Here is a 13,874-nt window from a genome sequence, read left to right as displayed (position 1 = left end):
TCAGGAAGGGAGAAAGCCAATACTGGGTGAGTTACTGGTTGCTGCACTGGGCACCTGGGGTGTCATCCCATTGCTGGTTGTACCCTAGGGACAAAGAAGTTGTGGCTTTTTTTTTTTTTGAGATAGAGTCTCACTCTTCCCTAGGCTGGAGTGCAATGGCACAATCTCAGCTCACTGCAAACTCTGCCTCCAGGATTCAAGCGATTCTCCTGCCTTACACTCCAGAGTAGCTGGGATTATAGGCGTGTGCCACTATGCCAGGCTAGTTTTTTTTTTTTTTTTGAGACAGGGTCTCGCTGTTGCCCAGGCTTGAGTGCAGTGGCACGATCTCGGCTCACTGCAACCTCTGCCTCCTGGGTTCAATTGATTCTCTGGCCTCAGCCTCCCAAGTAGCTAGTACCACAGGCATGCGCCACCACACCTGGCTAACGTTTGTATTTTTACAAATCTTTTGAACCTGGGAGGTGGAGGGTACAGTGAGCCGAGATCGTGTCACTGCACTCCAGCCTGGGGGAGAGCAAGACTCCGTCTCAAAAAAAAAAAAAAAAAAAAAGCAAAAAAAAAAAGCAAGCAACTTCATTTGGAGAGACAGCAAACCAAGAAGATGGCAGACTAGTGTCCTAAAGAACCATCTCGGCCGGGCGCGGTGACTCACGCCTGTAATCCCAGCACTTTAGGAGGCTGAGGTGGGCGGATCATGCGGTCAGGAGATTGAGACCATCCTGGCTAACACGGTGAAACCTCGTCTCTATGAAAAATACAAAAAATTAGCCGGGCGTGGTGGCGGGCACCTGTAGTCCCAGCTACTTGGGAGGCTGAGGCAGGAGAATGGCGTGAGCCCGGGAGGCGGAGCTTGCAGTGAGCCAAGATTGCGCCACTGCACTCCAGCCTGGGTGACAGAGTGAGACTCTGTCTCAAAAAAAAAAAAAAAGAACCATCTCAACTTAGTATAAATTTTAGGTTTCTTTTTATGCTAAGGGAAGGGGGTTGAGGTTAGGTGACCAATGACTGCAGACATCTGGTCGCCAGCAAGAGTCCAGAAGAAAACTTCTTTGATGATGTAGGTCAGGTCACAATATTCTTGTAAATCTCTAGTATAACATTGTTACTTGTGTGTACAGTTTCCTGATCTCTTGGTGGGGTGGTTAGTTTTGGGAAAGGGACTGCTATTTTTTCTAAAATTGAGCTATAAACTAAATTCCTCCTGTAATTAGCTGATCTACACACAAAACTAAGCAGAAGCTTTTAACCTAAAGGATGTTACTGCAGGGTGTCAGGGGCAAAATGGAGTCAGTCATGCTAAGCCTCCCTCCACTGTGACACACACCCCACCAATTTAGCAGCCAATAGTAGAGTCACTGTTCCTTTGTAGTTCCAACCAAAGTCCCAAGGTTGGCTCCTCTGGCTTCCGTCACATGCTCCACCTTTGCTGGGGGCTGCGGTCAGCCCCACCTAAACCATGTGGACTGAAAATGGCAGAAGCGTGGGTCTCCAAAGAGTATCAAGTTGTTGCTACTAGAAGAGGGGAACAGACACTGATGGGGTGGGGGAAGCTGCAGATTCTGGGAGAGACTCCAGGTTCAGGGAAAAGTCAGGATGCAAACCGGATTTGTCCTGTTTCAAAGGCCAGGCTGAGACTCTGGCATCAACCAAAGAGGCATGGTCCCCCTGAGATCACCAGCAAATAGGGGGTGCAGTCTTGGCAATATTGACCCAACAGGCTCGGTAATGGAGCATATCTGTGTCATTCGTTCATTTAACAAATATTGACTGTCTGCTATGTGTCAGGTCCTGGTCAAGGAGCAGAGACACGACAGTGAACAAGACGATGCCTCTGGAGCTGATATTCTACTTGGGGAAATTGACAATAACTAAAAGAAATAAGTGAAATTGTAGTGGGTCACAGGGTGGTAAGTGCTGAGGAGAAAAAGTGAGCAAGAGGAAGGGGGCACAACTCAAACAATGTGGTTGAAGAAGGCATCAGGGAGTCAGTAGAATGGAGCCACTATGTTAAAATTTTGCCATGAGAGCAGATTGTAGTGAGGAAACAGGCCATGGGAACTCCTAGAATAGTGCTGTCCAGTGGAAATCGAATGTGAGGCTGGGGTGGTGGATCACGCCTGTAATCCCAGCACTTTGGGAGGCCAAGGCAGGCGGATCACTTGAGGACAGGGGTTCAAGACCAGCCTGGTCAACATGATGAAACTCCGTCTCTACTAAAGATACAAAAATTAGCTGGGCATGGTGGCAGGTGCCTGTTAATCTTAGCTACTCGGGAGGCTAAGGCAGGAAGATCACTTCAACCCAGGAGGCAGAGGTTGCAGTGAGCCAAGATCACGCCACTGCACTCCAGCCTGGGTGACAGAATGAGACTGTCTCAAAAAAAGAAAAAAGAAAAAAAAGAATAGAATGTGAGCCACAGATGTAGTTACAAATTTTCTAGCAGTCACATTAAAACAGTAAAAATGGATTAATTTTAATAATTTAACTTATATTCTATTTAACCTGACATGTCTAAAATATTATCACTTCAATATGTAGTCAATATAAAAATAATGAGATCTTTTACAATCTGTTTTTCTTACTAAGTCTTTGAAATCTAGTGTGTATTTCACACTTACAGCACATCTTAATTCAGATGCCAAATTTTTAACAGGTAAAATGCAATACAGTCCTACTAAAACAATGAAGTTGTGTAACAAAAAATATTTTACATTCAAAATACTTTCACATTACATTTACATTTAAAATACTTCAATTTTAAAATTTAGGCCGAGCATGGCAGCTCAAGCCCTGTGTTGCCCAGGCTGGTCTCAAACTCCTGGGCTTAAGTGATCGGCCCACCTCAACCTCCCCAAGTGTTGGGAAACCTTTTAAAACTAGAACAAACTCCCATATGCCCTTACCCAGATTCAAAGTGGTTAACACTTTGCTCCTTGTGATTTACCATCCATACCCTTGCTAATATATTTATATCAGTGCATATGTTTTGGAACCATTTGAGAGTAAGTTGCAGACACGAGGCCTTTTTACTCCTACATTCTTCAGTGTGTATGTCTTAAGAACAAGGCCATTTTCTCACACAATTCTAGTAGTTATCAAAATCAGAAAATTTAACAACCCAGTTCTATTTTTAACTCACTCTGTAGTCTAAATTACTCTAATCCCTGTATGTCTTTTATAGCCATTTTCTTAGATCAGGGGATTTCTTGTTTAACAGATGGGTCAAGGGATTGAGAAACATTGACCCTGTGCCTTAGCAGAGTAAAATACAGAACAGCAGCCCAGGCGCGGTGCTTCACACATATAATCCCAGCACTCTGGGAGGCCGGGGTGGGCAGATCACTTCAAGAGTTTGAGACCAGCCTGGCCAACATGGTGAAACCCCGTGTCTACTAAAAATACAAAACAAAACAAAACAAAATAGCCGGGTATGGTGGCAGGTACCTATAATCCCAGCTACTCGTGGCGAGCGGGGTTGGGGGCGGGGGGCGGCTGAGGCAGGAGGAGTGCTTGAACCTGGGAAGCGGAGGTTGCAGTGAGCCAAGATTGCGCCACTGCACTCCAGCCTGGGCAACAGAGTGAGACTCTGTCTCAAAAACAAACAAAAAACAGAGCAGCAGATGCACACAGAGGATCAGCAGAGAACTGGGCACTGTTCCATGCTTGACACATAAGCATCCTTGGAGCCAAGGACTCGGGTGATGATTTATCTGGGATGTGATCCCAGGAAGCGGGAGTGGGGAAGAGACAGGGCAGGGGAAAAGCCAAAAAAGGTGCTCATGGAGTGGACACCACTGTGGGCAACTGGGGCTCCATTCCATGGGTGCCCCTGAGGAACCCTGCAGAACACATGTTGTCCCACCAGATGAGAGGTGGGCCAGGGCGCTCATCCAGTGACTGCTGCCCCCTACAGGCTGAGGGTTGCCTCTGAGCACATTAACCCACCTTCCAGGACTCCCAGGAAGCCCTCAGGCAGAGCAACAGAGATGCAGGGGCTCAGGGGAGGAGGCTGCAGCCTCCTGAGAACCTGCTTCTACAGTTGCAAGTGAACCCAAGAGGGCAGGAGGGCCATGGGTGGGGGTCAGGCCTCATCATCTGCTGTCACAACAGGGTTTGTTTTTTTTTTTGAGATGGAGTCTCACTCTCGTTGCCCAGACTGGAGTACAATGGCACGATCTTGGCTCACCGCAACCTCTGCCTCCCGGGTTCAAGCAATTCTCCTGCCTCAGCCTCCTGAGTAGCTGGGCTTACAGGCATGTACCACTATGCCTGGCTAATTTTATATTTTTTAGTAGAGACAGGGTTTCTCCATGCTGGTCAGGCTGGTCTTGAACTCCTGACCTCAGGTGATCTGCCCACCTCAGCCTCCCAAAGTGCTGGGATTATAGGCGTGAGCCACTGCGCCTGGCCTCACAACAGGCATTTAATTCACTGTACCATCATAATGGCCACATCAGGGAGGCTCTTATTAAGCCCATTTCACTGATAAGGGCATTCAGGCAAAAAGGTTAAATCAGGCTGGGCATGGTGGCTCATGACTGTGATCTCAGCACTTTGGGAGGCTGAGGTGGGAGGACCGCTTCAGCTCAAGAGTTTGAGACCAGCCTGGGCAACACAGTGAGACCCTGTCTCCGAAAAATAAAGAATAGGCCAGGCACGCTGGCTCACACCTGTAATCCCAGCACTCTGGGAAGCCGAGGTGGACAGATCACCTGAGGTCAGGAGTTCAAGACCAGCCTGGTCAACATGGTGAAACCCCATCTTAACTAAAAATACAAAAATTAGCCAGGCATGGTGGCATATGCCTGTAATCCCAGGTAATCAGGAGGCTGAGGCAGGAGAATGGCTTGAACCTGGGAAGCGGAGGTTGTGGTGAGCTGAGCGCACCATTGCACTCCAGCCTGGGCAACAAGAGCAAAACTCTGTCTCAAAAATAAATAAATAAAATAAAATAAACAATAAAAATATTATCTGGGTGTGGTGGTGCACGCCTGTAGTCCCAGCTACTCAGAAGGCTGAAGTGGAAGGATCACTTGAGCCCGGGAAGTCGAGGCTGCAGTGAGCTGTGCCACTGTACTCCAGCCTGGGTGACAGAGACCCTGTCTCAAAAAAAAAAAAAAAAAGTTAAATCACTCGCCTGTGATCACATAATCAGTAAGTATGGGAGCTGGGATTCAAACCCTGCCTTCCCATTCCCGGGTCCGTGCTCTTAGCCACTATTCATCTGCACAGCTCCTCCCTCAAATCAGGCATTCCTCCATCCTCTCTACCGGGAAAATCTCATTCATCTGTTAACACCCAGGTTAATGTGACTTCTCTCCTGACCCAGGATGCCAGACCCCATTGAAAACTCGATCCCTGCCTGCAGCCCTGCCAGGAGCTCCAATCCTGGGGCTTGTCAGGGCTCAAGATCATGGAGCCAGGAGTGAGGGGGTGGCAGGAGATGCAGCTGAAGATGTAATTGGGGGGCTGGATGAGTAGGACCCCACTGGTCTTTGGCTTTTGAGATGGAGCCAGGAGATGACTAACATGATCACCCTGATGGAAGAAATTGAGGCTGAGAGAGATGAATGAGGTGGCTGAAGTCCCATGGTGAGGACAAACCTGAGACAAAGCAGAAGTAGAAGCCACAATCAAGTAAACCCACAGCCTTGTGCCTGGGGCACTCCGGGCCCCAGCTGAGATCCTGAGACCCTGCATTTCTTCCCTTTGCCCCCTCCAGGCCTTTCCCCACACTGGTCTTTTTTTTTTTTTGAGACGTAGTTTCGCTCTGTCGCCCAGGCTGGAGTGCAGTGGCGTGATCTTGGCTCATTGCAACCTCTGCCTCCAGGGTTCAAGCGATTCTCCTGCCTTAGCCTCCTGAGTAGCTGGGATTACAGGTGCCCACCACCACGCCTGGCTAATTTTTGTATTTTTAGTAGAGACGGGGTTTCACCATATTGGCCAGGCTGGTCTGGAACTCCTGACCTCGTGATCCGCCCATCTTGGCCTCCAAAAGTGCTGGGATTACAGGAGTGAGCCACTGCGCCCAGCCTTGGTCTTCTTGCCTAGAAGCCTATCCCGGCAATTAATTCTTCAAACTGCAATTCCACTTTATAACCATTTGGGAATGTGGCTCCCCCACCGGGATTAGGGCAGTGACTGTTTCTCTTCCGTCCATCCTCCCTTTGGTCTGAGGTCTATGCTCCTTACCTGTGGTCCTCCTACCCACAGCTACATCCACAAGAACTCATTTCCACTTATTTAACTGATATGGGTGCAAATATAGCTCAGCGATGCAAAATGCATCCCTCCACAGAATGTCTAGGGCAGGCCCATATGGGGACACCGGAGGGAGTATATCTGTGATCTATGGGGTTCATCTCCCCTCTCCTGCCCCAGGGCCTTGTCGTTCACTGTAGCTGAGGCTGGACCCTTCAGCCAGGTTTGAGAAATTTCCAGGTCTGAGACCCTCACTACTGCCTCAGGGGCTCCGAGCCAGTTCTCAGCTCCACCATTTCCTCTTCCACACAAAGATGTTAAATCACTTGCCCTCCATTAGGGAGCCAACTGGGGTATCTTTGGGGGTTAAGCCAGGATGAGCCCCCTCCACAGATCTGCCCAGGGGAGAAAACTATGCCGCTTCAATCAATGTGCCAGTCTACAGGGCTCCGGAAGGAGTCAGATCCCCACACCTATCACCTCCCAGATGGTCCCTTCCAGGTGTCTGTGTGCGTGTGTGTGTGGTGGCAGGGGGGCTGGGGGTGTTTCAAAAATCCTGAAATATATAAAAGCTTTAAGACCACCAACAGGGAAGTAGACATATCCCCAATTTTATTCCCTTTGTCCAACATTCCGAGAGGGAAGGGGCAAATGAGTCAATGTTGCCCCTCAAAACCATCAAGTAGGGGCCTTTGGGGGTCTTCAGTTGATCAACCAGGGTGATAGACCCCTACCCCTTCCTCATGGTCCTGGCTTGTCACAATTAATGGGGGAAAGTTTTCCAGAAGGGGATTCCGGGCTTCTCACCGCTCATCAGGGCACCTTCCCAAAACGTTCTCAGCAAAAAGTCTGCACTTCTCAGAGTTAAATACAGGAGAGGGGAGACTCCTTGAGGAGCCAGAAGTGGGTATGTTCTCAGGGGTCAAGAGAAGGGCGTCTCAGGCTCTCCCTGTCCACCGGGGGTCGTCCTGGCTCCCCGTACCTTCGGGCAAGTAGCTCTTGGCTTGACACTGTCCAGCCCGCCAGCGTCCCAGGCCGCCCCAAGCCCTCATGGGGGAGGAGCACCGACCTGTCTCCAAGCATCGGAAAAGGCGGGCCTCCCTTGCCGTCCATCACGGGGCTCTCTAGGCCCCCTGCGTCGCCAAGGAGGAGTCTCTGACATCCCCAATTCGTCAAGCTAGTCTCTTAAGACCTCTCACCTTAGGCGGGTTCCCCAGTCCCCCCATGCAGTCAGGCGAGCCTCCTGGCTCCACCACGCCATCGAGCGAGTTCGGCTCTTCGCCTGTCACCGTCCGTCGGGGCGGGTCTCCGGTGCCCCCGTGCTGTCGTGGGGGTTCCTTGGACTGTCGCCGTCGTCAGGCTGGCAACCCACGCCGCCAGGCTCCCCGGTCGGGGCCCGCGGGCGTACGAAGGCGCCCATGGCGGTGGCGTGGCCCGAGCGTAGCAGCTGCAGCTGGCGCCGCCCGCGGCGGTACAGGTACTCGATGCGCAGCACGTCGGACCGCGGCAGGCCCGCATGCTGCCGGAACTCTGCCCGCACTCGCGCCTCGGCGCCCGGCTTCCCACGCCCGGCGCGCAGCAGATCGCGGTACAGGCTCAGAACCTGCCTCTGCAGCCGGCTGTGCCGGCTCATGACCGCGGCTAAGCAGAGACGCTCAGCGAACGACCTGCGAACCGCGGAGCCGCCACACAGCCAGCAAAGGCCAAAGGGCAAAGCCACAGCCACTTCCGCCCAGCGCTTCCCTTGGCCTCCAACTCCCGCCTCCCGCCATCCGGCGCTGCCGCGTCTGACTGGCTGTCGTTGCAGTTACGTAACAGCCGGCTGGGAGAAGTGGGCGGAGTCGCTGGTCGCGGCCTCCCACGTAGGGGACGTGTGTTCTTGAGGGGACAGCAGTTCTGGGGATCCTGGCACCGCCTGGAGGGCGTTATGTGTTCGGACTCCTAGGTCTTGGGTTGGAGGGAACAGAGGGTCCTCACCTAACTCCTGCATTCTGGGAGAAGAGGAAGCTAGGGGTTTTTTTGTGTGTGACGGGGTCTCGCTGTCGCCCAGGCTGGAGTGCAGTGGCGCGATCTTGGCTCACTGCAGCCTCGAACTCCTGGGCCCAAGCGATCCTCCCACCTCAACTCCCCTAGTAGCTGGAACCACAGACGCGCGCAACCGCGCCCGCTATTTATTTATTTATTTATTTATTTATTTATTTATTTATTATTATTATTATTTGCAGAGATGGGTCTCCCTATGTTGCCCAGAATGGCTCGAACTCCTGGGCTCAAACGATTCTCAGCCTCCCAAAGTGTTGGGATTCCAGGCGTGAGCCACCGCGCCCGGCTACCGGTTCGGACTTTGGGTCCCAAGGGCACGGGGCACTGGGAGAGACGCCGGGCACAAGCGTGCTTTTGCCGTCAGTTACTGATTCAAACCATCTTGGGAAGCTCCGTGCGTTCCCTCGTCCGGGGCAGGTCTGTGTCTGGGGTCCCAGCCCTGGGCACGTGCAGAGGGACGAGACCCCGTAGGGAAATGGCTCTCGGCCGGTTGGACAGGCTTCTCGGGCCAGGGGAAGACAAGCAGAGAGAGTGTGGGCGCCAAGCCCCCAGAGGCAGCGTGTGGCTCTAGGAGCTGGGTTGGTCGCGCCCTCTGCGGGTGGGAGTCGGGGCAGTGGACAGCGGTGTTTGGGTCCTTACCGACTGTTAAAGCCCGGAGTCCGGGACACCCTGAACAGTCGACTAGACTGCAACCCCGTTGTCCTCCCAGGAGCTTTAGGTGGTAGGCCGCAATGCCGTTGTTGTCCCCGCGGGCCGCCTGGAGGTGTCCTCGTAGCGCTAGGGAGGCCCGCAAGGACACAGCATCCTCGGGCCCCACCAGCACCGGAGCTTGGGGGACCCCTCCACCCAGCGCGCAACCGCGGCTCTGCACACTTGGGCCGGCAACCAGCTGGGGGGTCCATTCCCCTTCAGAGAGGAGAAGCTGGTCAGGGGCGGGGATTAGGCTTGGAGTCTTGGAGTCAGGGGAGAATCACAAACCACTGTGAATCCTGCCTGGCAGGTGTATGTATCTATCAAAAATACATGTCCTAGAACGGTGGCTCACACCTGTAATTCCAGCACTTTTGGAGGCCGAGGCGGGCGGACCACCTGAGGTCGGGAGATCGACACCAGCCTGATCCACATGGTGAAACTTCTGCCTCTAGGTTCAAGTGATTCTCCCTACCTCAGCCTCCCCAGTAGCTGGAATTACAGGTATGTGCCAGCACACTGGGCTAATTTTTGTATTTTTAGTAGAGGCGGGGTTTCACCATATTGGTGAAACTACAGCCTTGATCTCCTGGGATCAAGCAATCCTCTCGCCTCAACATGTCCAGTGGTTAGGATTACGTGAACATCCCACCACACCCGGCTAATTCTTCTTTTATTGTTTTTTGTAGAGACAGAGTCTCGCTGTGTTGCCCAGGCTTCACTCTGGAATTTTAAATATTTATTTTTTGTTTTGTTTTTAGAGACAGGGTCTTGCTATGTGGCCCAGATTGGTCTTGAACTCCGGCCTCATCCTCCCAAGTAGCTGGGATAATAGGGATGAGCCACCATGCTGGCTTGTACTCTGGAATTTAAACATCTATCTTTTTCCTGTCAAATGACCCTTAATCTCCAAGACAACTATGTCAATCAGCCTAGGGGGACTTTCTTTACTTTCCAGTGGACTCAAGGAGCTGCAAAACCTCAAAGGGAATACTATTGCCTCCTGCCCAGGGCCTGTCAATGGTTTTCTGGTTACAGTCTCTCAGTTTGTCTTTGGGGAACTGGCCCACTCTTATTCTAGGGGATTTCCTGGGTAATATCCCTGCCCTCTGGCTCTGGCTACAGCTCTGTTACATGCCCAGGCCTGGCTACTTAGAGACAAATCAGAATATCCCATCCCCTGACCCCTGTAATTGTTTAGGGATGGGCAAATGACCTCCACTGGGACAATGAGAATCAGACCCGGGACTTCTGTTGAAACTGTGAAGAAAGAAGTGCTGTCTCCCCACTGGGACTGCTAGACTGTACATCATCAACCTGGAGCAGTGGGAGATCACTTCCCGCAGGCAGAGGGGTAGTTTGAAAATGAGGCTGTGGCAGTCTCAGATACCCATTCTCCATTTCTTTCCTAGAATTAGCATTTTTTTTTTTGATATGGAATCTCGCTCTGTCACCCAGGCTGGAGTGCAGTGGCGTGATCTCCATTCACTGCAACCTCTGCCTCCCGGGTTCAAGCGATTCTCCTGCCTCGGCCTTCTGAGTAGCTGGGACTACAGGGATGCGCCACCACATCCGGCTAATTTTTGTATTTTTAGTAGAGACGAGTTTTCGCCATATTGGCCAGGCTAGTCTAGAACTCCTGACCTCAAGTGATCCGCCTGCTTCGGCCTCCCAAAGTACTGGGATTACAGGTGTGAGCCACCATGCCTGGCCTTTTTTCTTTGTCTTTTCCTTTTTTTTTTTTTTTTTTGAGATAGGGTCTTGCTCTGTTGCCCAGGCTGGAGTGCAGGGGCATGCTTGTGACTCACTGAAGCCTCAAATTCCCAGGATCAAGTGATCTTCCCACCTCAGTGGCCTAGAACTATAGGCGCTCACCACCATGCCTGGCTAATTTTTGTATTTCTTATAAAAACAAGGTTTCACCATGTTGCCCAGGTTGTTCTCAAATTCCTAGGCTCAAGTGATCCTCCCACCTCGGCTTCCCAGAGTGCTGGAATTACAGGCATGAGCCACCGCACTTGGCCAAATTAGAATCTTTAGCTGCACACATGGCCACTTAGCTAAAGATACATCTTCCAGCCCCCTTTGCAGCCAGATGGGGCCCTTCCATAAAGTTTGGCCACTGGGAAGTGAATGGATGTGATGTGTGCAATTTCTGGGTTTTGTCCTTAAAGGGAGGAGGCCTGGCCTCTTTGTGCCCTCTTTTCTCCTTCCAACTTGCAGGAATGTAGCTGCGGTGAGGAAGAGATGAGGGCAATACCACAGGGGAGGCAGAGCCACGTGACAGATGGAGCCTGTGTTGGAGGAAGCAAACTGGTTATACTTGGACTGCCTGTGAGAGATAATTAAGCTTCTATCAAGTTTAAGCCACTGTAGGCTGAGCGTATTGCTCACGCCTGTAATCCTAGCACATTGGGAGGCTGAGGTTGGGAGGATTGCTTGCACCCAGGAGTTCAGGACCAGCCGGGACAACACAACAAGACCTTGTCTCTACAAAAAAAAAAAAAAAAAAAAAAAAAAAAAAAATTGGCCAGGCATGGTGGCACATAACTGTAGTCCTAGCTACTTGGGAGGCTGAGGTGTCGGGATTGCTTGAGTCCAGGAGGTCAAGGCTGTAGTGAGCTATGATCACGCCACTGCATTCCAGCCTGGGTGACAGAGTGAGACCCTCTCTCTAAAAACAAACAAAAAGCTTAAGCCACTGTAATTTTGAGCTTTTGTTCTACCATATGGACCTGGAGCCTAATTACTATAGAAGCTAACGCAGAAAAAGGAAAAGGCGAGGATGAAAGATGGAAAGAAACTAAGTTCTTAGCAACATCATTTGAGTCCTTGAACCAGCCAGACCTGAAGGCCTCATCTTTACAGATAAGTAAAAGCAGACAAATTCTCGTCTGTATTTAAGACAGCTGGCATCATTTTCTGTCATTTACAACTGAAAATGCTGACTGATATACTGGTGATTCAGGGAACATCTTATGATGAGGTTTGGGAGACTTGTCCTCACCTTCCAGGCCTGGAGATCCCTCTCACCAGAAGGTAGCATTCATTGTGGAAGCAGCCACAGTGGTCCTGGGACACACAGTCTGTGCCATCAATGGTGAGGCCACGTTCATAGCTCTCATAGCATCGGGAGGAACAGTGAGCGGGGTTGGCAGGCAGGACACACCCCAAATCATAGGTCTGTGCACAGATGCTGTAATGGCCTTGGGGTGGGCAGGTCTGTGCTGCAGGCAGTTGGCAAAGATAAATGCCTAGGGCTCAAATTTCTTTTCTTCTTCTTCCTTCTTCTTCCTCCTTCTTCCTCCTTCTTCCTCCTTCTTCCTCCTTCTTCCTCCTTCTTCCTCCTTCCTCCTTCCTCCTCCTTCTCCTAGTCCTTCTCCTCCTCCGTCTTCTTCTTCTTCCTTCTTTTTCCTTCTTCCTTCTTCTTCCTTCTTTTCCCTTCTTCCTTCTTCTTCCTTCTTCCTTTCTTCTTCTTCTTTTTTTTTTTGAGATGGAGTCTCCCTCTGTCTCCCAGGCTCGAGTGCAGTGGTGTGATCTCCATTCACTGCAACCTCCACCTCCAGGTTCAAGCAATTCTCCACCCTCAGCCTCTCAAGTAGCTGGGACTACAGGTGTGTGCCACCACACCCGGCTAATTTTTGTATTTTTAGTAGAGACACTGTTTTACTATGTTGGCCAGGCTGGTTTTGAACTCCTGACCTCAGGTGATCCACCCACCTCAGCCTCCCAAAGTGCTGGGATTACAGGCAGGAACCATCGCGCCCAGCCTCAAATTCCTCTTTCCAATCTCATCGCCTCTGCCCCTAGTCAGCCTGGCTTCCCATTGGTATTTCCCCACCTCCACACCTTTGTAGCTGCAGTTCCCTTTCCCTTGGATCCTCTTCCCACACATTCTCCTCCACCAATTCCACCTATGCTAGGAATTCTTCCTGGACTCCCACCAGGGGAAGGGGCTCTTCCAGCCAACCCATAGTCTGCCCTGCCTGCACCCCAGACCAAGCCAGAGCACTTATGGCAATGCTTGGGGCCCCTCCAGGGCATCACAGGGTTCCCAGGCTCCTGGCTGCTGCAGTATGGCCTGTGAGAGTGTCACAGAGACCACGGTGCTGGCCACTGGGATGACACGCATCCTGCAGGCATATACTAAGGAAGGGCTTGTTGATGTGGGCCACACAGTGGTTAAAGGGGCCATCCGGCACATGCAGGAGGCCACACAGTTTGGGAGCTTTGAAGATCTGGGCAAGTCATGTGGGCAGCTGACATGAAAGCCATGGTTGGGCTGGGTCAGTGGGCAGTGGATAGTGATCAGGCCCTTGGACCAGGACACGGTATCCAGAGGCAGGTCAAGTAGGCCAACATTGCCTCCAAAGGACCCATGGAGCCCCGCCAGCTCGCCTTAGAATTCAGAAGGCACCATGAGCTTCCCCAGGTGTACATGAGATACAGCCCACAGGCCATGTGCACCATGGCATGGTGGCCCTCCAAGGCGGCCAACCCCAGCCCCCTGGCAGTGCCCAGGGCAGCCAGTAGTGCTCACCATCCACCTGCAGGGGAGGTAAGGGGTCAGGACTGGGGCTGAGGAGGCTGAACCTGCTCCCATGCCTCCCTGAAACCTGGATGTCCCTCCTCATTGCGCCACAAATGAGGGTGAGACTTGGACAAGGGACTTAGCCTTTCTGAACTTCAGTTTCTGTGTTTGTAACATGGAAGGACAAGAGTACCTACTTCAGGCTGGGTGCGGTGGCTCATGCCTGTAATCCCAGCACTTTGGGAGGTTGAGGTGGGCGGGTCACTTGAGGCCAGGAGTTCGAGACCATCTTGGCCAACATGAAGAAACCCCATCTCTACTAAAAACTCAAAAATTAGCCAGGTGTGGTGGTGCAGGCCTGTAGTCCCAGCTGCTCAGGAGGCTGAGGCAGAAGAATCGCTTGAAC

The 13,874-nt window shown here is 51.6% G+C and overlaps 1 protein-coding gene across 1 annotated transcript, besides 5 other annotated features; it reads right to left on the bottom strand.

Moving 5' to 3' along the window:
- SDHAF1 (succinate dehydrogenase complex assembly factor 1) lies at positions 6,800-7,924 on the bottom strand. The gene has a single exon (NM_001042631.3). It carries the CDS (start codon positions 7,835-7,837, stop codon positions 7,490-7,492), a length of 348 nt encoding a protein of 115 aa, NP_001036096.2. The 5' UTR covers positions 7,838-7,924; the 3' UTR covers positions 6,800-7,489.
- Positions 7,468-7,587: a silencer, noted in NCBI's record as "silent region_10546". NCBI's record gives its function as "represses an Ori minimal core promoter by ATAC-STARR-seq in GM12878 lymphoblastoid cells {active_cell/tissue: GM12878}" and the evidence as "EXISTENCE:reporter gene assay evidence [ECO:0000049][PMID:35858748]".
- Positions 7,618-7,677: a silencer, noted in NCBI's record as "silent region_10545". NCBI's record gives its function as "represses an Ori minimal core promoter by ATAC-STARR-seq in GM12878 lymphoblastoid cells {active_cell/tissue: GM12878}" and the evidence as "EXISTENCE:reporter gene assay evidence [ECO:0000049][PMID:35858748]".
- Positions 7,738-7,817: an enhancer, noted in NCBI's record as "active region_14513". NCBI's record gives its function as "activates an Ori minimal core promoter by ATAC-STARR-seq in GM12878 lymphoblastoid cells {active_cell/tissue: GM12878}" and the evidence as "EXISTENCE:reporter gene assay evidence [ECO:0000049][PMID:35858748]".
- Positions 8,078-8,127: an enhancer, noted in NCBI's record as "active region_14512". NCBI's record gives its function as "activates an Ori minimal core promoter by ATAC-STARR-seq in GM12878 lymphoblastoid cells {active_cell/tissue: GM12878}" and the evidence as "EXISTENCE:reporter gene assay evidence [ECO:0000049][PMID:35858748]".
- Positions 8,462-8,961: an enhancer, noted in NCBI's record as "H3K4me1 hESC enhancer chr19:36485053-36485552 (GRCh37/hg19 assembly coordinates)". NCBI's record gives its function as "activates a minimal SCP1, AML or CMV promoter by ChIP-STARR-seq in naive H9 embryonic stem cells {active_cell/tissue: H9 hESC(naive)}" and the evidence as "EXISTENCE:reporter gene assay evidence [ECO:0000049][PMID:30033119]".

The sequence above is a fragment of the Homo sapiens genome, chromosome 19, assembly GCF_000001405.40.
Source record: "Homo sapiens chromosome 19, GRCh38.p14 Primary Assembly".
Classification (NCBI taxonomy): Eukaryota; Metazoa; Chordata; class Mammalia; order Primates; family Hominidae; genus Homo; species Homo sapiens.
This window is presented reverse-complemented; position numbering and strand designations above follow the sequence as displayed.